We start from the raw sequence: 6025 nt of genomic DNA on the forward strand, positions 1-6025 counted from the left end.
ACAGGCTGGGCACAGTGGCTCACGCCTGTAATCACAGCACTTTGGGAGGCTGAGGCTGGTGGATCACCTGAGGTCAGGAGTTCAAGATCAGCCTGGCCAACGTGGTGAAAACCCATCTCTACCAAAAATACAAAAATTAGCTGGGCATGGTGGCACGCACCTGTAATCCCAGCTACTCAGCAGGCTGAGGCAGAAGAATCACTTGAACCTGGGAGTCGAAGATGGCAGTGAGCTGAGATCATGCCATTGCACTCCAGCCTGGGTGACAGAGCGAGAATCCATCTCAAAAAAAAAAAAAAAAAAAAAAAAAGTGGAAACACCATTTTGGAGGTTTTCTTTCAATAACAAAGATGTTGCCCAAAAGGAAATACATTTCTACGATACCCTTTGGGTGTGACAGGGAATTTTATACACCTCCATAAGGAAAGTGTATAACATTCTTGGGAGCTACCTTCAAGCATTTACTGTACAGGGAAAATGGAAGATGGTCTACTGAATGAGTGTCTCACTGTGGATTGGTCCAGGAACCAGTTCAGCACATGGTAGCAGCTATTCCTTTTTAAAGTAAACTGATGGAACTTTTGTTTCCTTTTGTTTCCTGAAACCTTTTGTTTCCTGATTCTCTTGTTTTTGGCAAATTCTTACTTGAAAATATTTTTGAACTAGAATGTTTTGAGCTCGGAGAACCTGCAGAAACCATCTTATTTATGGATGCAGAAGGTAGCACAGAAAGGTTAAGGAACTTACCTAAAGTTACACAGCTAATTTGTGGCAAAAGTGGGATTCACTTCCAGGTTTAGTATGTCATTTGAATCACGTCATAACCTGCTTTGGAGAACAAATTGATCTAAAGAATTGACTGTTCCAAAGAATTTGGTTTATAAATCTTAAAATCATTTAGATCACAAAATGTCATGAGAGAAAACACTGAGAATATAGAGAAATGTTCAGAATATTAGAACAAATTGAAGTTGTACCTATTTCAAGAAAAATAAAATCTTTCCTATATCTTTATGTGTATAATGATTTTTAGATTATTTTTTAAATTGCCAAAATTCAATTTGGCAAAGCAGTGAACTTTGAAACACATGTTAATAAACTGAAGTTTTATTTACTGATTTTCTATAAACAAATAAACACTGAAATGTTATCTATAATAATGAATATTCTTGTGTTCCTGGAACACATTGAAATATTGTGTTGTAATAAAATAAAAATTACAGTGCTGTAGAGGTTAGCATTGGAGGTTAACGTATTATTTCGATGTATAAAATATAGTATTGAACAAAACAGACATAAATCAGCATATGGTGGGATTCCATTCATATGAAATGCAAAAATGGGTGTATTAGTCTGTTCTCACATGGCTATAAGGAGATACCTGAACCTGGATAATTTATAAAGAAAAAAGGTTTAATTGGCTCACAGTTTTGTAGGCTGTACAGGAAGCATGGCTGAGGAGGCCTCAGGAAACTTACAATCATGGTGGACGGTGAAGGGGAAGCAGGCTTATCTTATATGGACAGAGAAGGAGGAAGAGAGTGAAGTGGGAGGTGCTACCCACTTTTAAACCACCAGATCTTCTGAGAACTCACTGTCACGAGAAGAGCAAATTGGGAAATCTGCCCCTTTGATCCAGTCATCTCCCACGAGGCCCCTCCTCCAACACTGGGGATTTCAGCTCAACATGAGATTTGGGCAGGGATGAAAATCCAAACCCTAACAATGGGCAAAACCAATTTAGACTGTTACAAGTCAGGATGGTGGCTGTTCTTGGGATGGGTTCCCGGAATTGCTGGAACTGGGTGTGAGGGGCTGGTCATGTTTCTTGATCTAGGTTCTGGTTACATATGTGTGTTCAGTTTGTGAAAGTTTATCAAATTGTGCATTACTACCTATGTAGTTTTCTGAATATATATTATACTTCAATAAAATGTTTTAAAAATATGTATATCATATATCATTTCATCTTAGAAACAGAACACGTTAATAAGTGACTAGTTTTTGGAAGAAATTATTATAGCATAAGTTTTAAAAAAAGATGTTGGGGTGGGGTTTTTAACTTTCCATAATGCTGTAAAGTTTGCAACACTCACACAGTCATAGAACAAATAGAACTTTGACTTTGGTTTCAAAATTTATGCAGCTGCCTCCATATACTTTTGACAGTTTAATCACATATTTAACAGTTACAAAGCATGTTTTAGACATCAAGAGGATACATGGAGATGGTGGTAGGGCTTATATACCCATGGTCGTGTAAAACAGGAAAAATGTCAGCAAAAATAAACTATTATGCTGGTCTATTGAGTGACTTTGTCAGCTTTATAAAGGAATGAATATATAGTGTTGAAGGATAATCTTTCTGAATTAGTAAGTTATTTTTTAAAAAGCACATCTAAATCAATACCTTATTTTAGAAGAAATGTAATGTTAGGCATACTAACATGTATAAAACATAGTTTTTGAAAGAAACAGCTGATACCCTTTAAAGCTTACAGAAGACTAGAAATAATCTGACTTCCAAATGCTCCCCTCTTTGGTTGAAGCAGGAATATTCTATGAGGCATTTAAGGGAAGAGAAGCAGGGATTGTGAGTAAAAAGGGTGTGGACAATTTCCTCAAGTGAAACTTGCTTGGATAATCGGTGGCTGAACTAAAAAATTCACTTATTTAGACTTTTTACCAGTTTCATAACTAAGTTCTTCTCCAAGGGAGGCTGATGTATATTTATGTAACCATATTTTAGGGCTTAAAAAGTTCACAATTTAAAAAGACTCCTGCAAGGAAACAGGCCCTATTTTTTCTCCCAAATACCCTGAACTTTGGAGCTAGATAGCTTCTTAGTCTAACTGTTACAAAGGAATCCTTTTGTTTAAGATTTTTGTTCATTCGACTTTTGATATTTCTTGCTTTTGTCAACAAGTTAAATTCTATGTGAATTCATATCCCAGTATGATGTTCTCAATAAGCTGATCCAATTATTGCATCAAAAATGCTCCTTTTAAAAAATAGAGACCTGTCTCAATTTCTTCTCAATGGAGTGTGCAGTGTGTATTTCTAAATGAATTGAAAAAATAGATGTCAAGTAGAAGCAGGTGGCTGCTACATATTTTTGCAGTACTTAAGCAACTAATTGGCTTATTTCTTTTTAAGAAAAACTGATGAGGAAAACATCCTTTTCTAAAGAATTAAACAGCATCATCATCATATTATGTTTACTTAGCACTTTCCAGTTTGCAAAGCATGTTTCCTATTTTTGTCGTTATTCAATCATCACAATAATTCCATTAGTACTAGTTAGGTATGATTGTTACTCCTGTTTTACAAATGAGAAAACTCTGACTCAGAGGGCAGAGCCAGGGCTGTCTGCCTGTGTGTTTAGCTGGGTGACATCCTTTCCACGACATCATAGGGACCTGTGATCAGAAAAAGGAAGAATTTTTTTCTAACTTTTTTTTCTGAAAACAAGAATTTTTGCAAACGATATGATAGAATATAATTGAATTTTAAAATTAGACAAGGTTTTTCAAAATAATTATTCACTTTATTCAGCAAATTAATTTTATTTCAAAATAGTAATTTCTTTTATTCGACAGGTATTTGTTCAGTAACTCCTGGGAGCCACAAATAATTCTGGGTTCTGGGGTGAAAATGCGCGTGGTATAAGTTGTATGGAAGGTATCATCTGCCCTCTTGAAGGTTATGGAGTTCTCAGCAAGATGCCCATTAAACAATCACACACAAATGGATAAATGTTTAAATCGATGGTACATACTAAAACAAACTTTGGAGGGAGCTGTGAGAGTTGATTACCTGGGAACTCAATTTAGACAGGGAAGGCCTCTTGAAGGAAGTGGCATTTAAGCCTTGAAGTAGGATACAGCTGGGTGAAGGGTTGGGGAGGCGAGGGAAGAGCATTCTAGATGGAGCAAACAAAGTGTGCCAAGTGCCTGAGGCAGAGACATTGGGACCTCTAGGAGATGGAAGCAGCCCAGATGTTAAAAGAGCACAGCGGATGATGAATGATTTTGAGGCTGCTGAATGTGGGGAGGCTATTAACATTTTTTGAGGAGCGGTACAGTTTACATTTTAAGACCATCATGCCTGCTGCTGGAAAAAGGAGGGGCGAGGAGTTGGAAGAAGGGATAGGATAGACCTGGAAGAGGAGGACTCCCTCAAAACCATGCCATGAGAAGCTTCCAAAGCAGCTCTTGGACCTGACAACGGGGGGCCAGTGATGACCCCACAGGGTGTGGGGTGGAAGCTAGTTGGGGTGAGTTGACCTGGAGACACTACTGGCAGACCCACTTAATAGGAATTTAGTTGTCAAGGGAACGGGAAAGATGGAGAGGGTGTTGGACGGTCTGAATGGTTATGTTCCTCCCTAATTCATCTGTTGAAATCCTAACCCCCAAGGTGATAATATTAAAAGATGGGGTCTTTGGGAGGTGCTTAGGTTGCAAGAGAGAGCCCTTGAGTGGGACTAGTAACCTTATAAAACAGGCCCAAGGCAACTTGTTTGTCCCTTCCACCGTGTGTGCTGGCCGTGAGAAGATGGCGGTCTACGAACCAGGAAGCAGGTCCTCGCCAGACACCGAGGCGTCCGCTGGTGCCCTGATCTTAGACCTCCTACCCTTCAGAACTGTGAGTTTCTGTTGTTTAGAAACCACCCAAGTCTAGGATATTTTGTTTTTTATTTGTTTTTTTGAGACGGAGTTTCGCTTTTGTTGCCCAGGCTGGATTGCAGTGGCACGATCTCGGCTCACTGCAACCTCTGCCCCTTGGGTTCAAGCAATTCTCCTGCCTCAACCTCCCTAGTAGCTGGGATTACAGGTGCCCGCCACCACGCCTAGCTAATTCTTTTTTTTTTTTTTTTTGTATTTTTAGTAGAGACGGGGTTTCACCATGTTGGCCAGGCTGGTCTCGAACTCCTGAGCTCAGGAGATCCACCCACCTCAGCCTCCCAAAGTGCTGGGATTATAGGCGTGGGCTACTGCACCCAGCTCTAGGATATTTTTGTTATAGCAGCCTGAACAGACTAAAGACAGGGTGTACATAGGGCAGGGAATTGAAGGAAAGTGGTGGTGGTGGTGTTTTCTCGTTTTTTTGTTTTGTTTTGTTTTGTTTTTTTGGGATGAGATCTTGCTCTGTTGCTCAGACTGGAGTGCAGTGGCACGATCATGGCTCACTGCAGCCTCGACCTCCAGGACTCAAGTGATTCTCCCACCTCAGCCTCCCGAGTAGCTGGGACCACAGGTGTGTGCCACCACACCTGGCTAAGTTTTTGGTTTTATTTATTTTTTGTAGAGACAGGGTCTCCCTCTGTTGCCCAGCCTGGCTTTAAACTCCTGGGCTTAAGCCATCCTCCTACCTCAGGCTCCTAAAGTGCTGGGATTACAGGCCTGAGCCACCATGCCTGGCCTGAAGGGACGATCTTGAAAGTGGAGCACGCTGAAGTATCTGGGCACAATAATGAAAGTCATTCATCAGTGAAGGAGAGATTGATGATGGTGGCAGTGGTGGTGTGTGAGAAAAAGAATCTCAGACAGACATACACTGTCAGCTAATCAAAGAAGGAAAGCCCTTGGGCAGTCACAAGAAGATGTGGCCAGAATGCATGCAGAGCATTTTACACTGTTTTACGCTGCTCCTGGGATAAGAGAGACACTTCCATTGTGGTAACAAGAAGGAAAGGCGGAGAAGATGGGTTTACAGATTTGGTTTGGGAAGATGAAGACATTTCATTCCAATGGTTGTTTTTTTTCCCCTGCCTTTAGGAAGCATGAAGTGGGGTCAGAGTGAAGGGCAAGAGGAGAGCTGGGGTTGGGCAGACTGAGGCTGTCTGGATCGATGATATGGCCTTAGTGTGGAGATGAAGAGAGAGCTTGCTAGGCAGTGTCCTTGGAAATGGGTGAAGATGATCTTGACACCAGTCCCCGTACTGGGTATTTTTCCTCAGCAGCATTTAGCCCTGCAGTGTATGGGGTTCATCTAGTTTTGGGAGACTATTGGAAGAGTTATT

This window comes from Homo sapiens, chromosome 6, assembly GCF_000001405.40.
Source record: "Homo sapiens chromosome 6, GRCh38.p14 Primary Assembly".
NCBI lineage: Eukaryota > Metazoa > Chordata > Mammalia > Primates > Hominidae > Homo > Homo sapiens.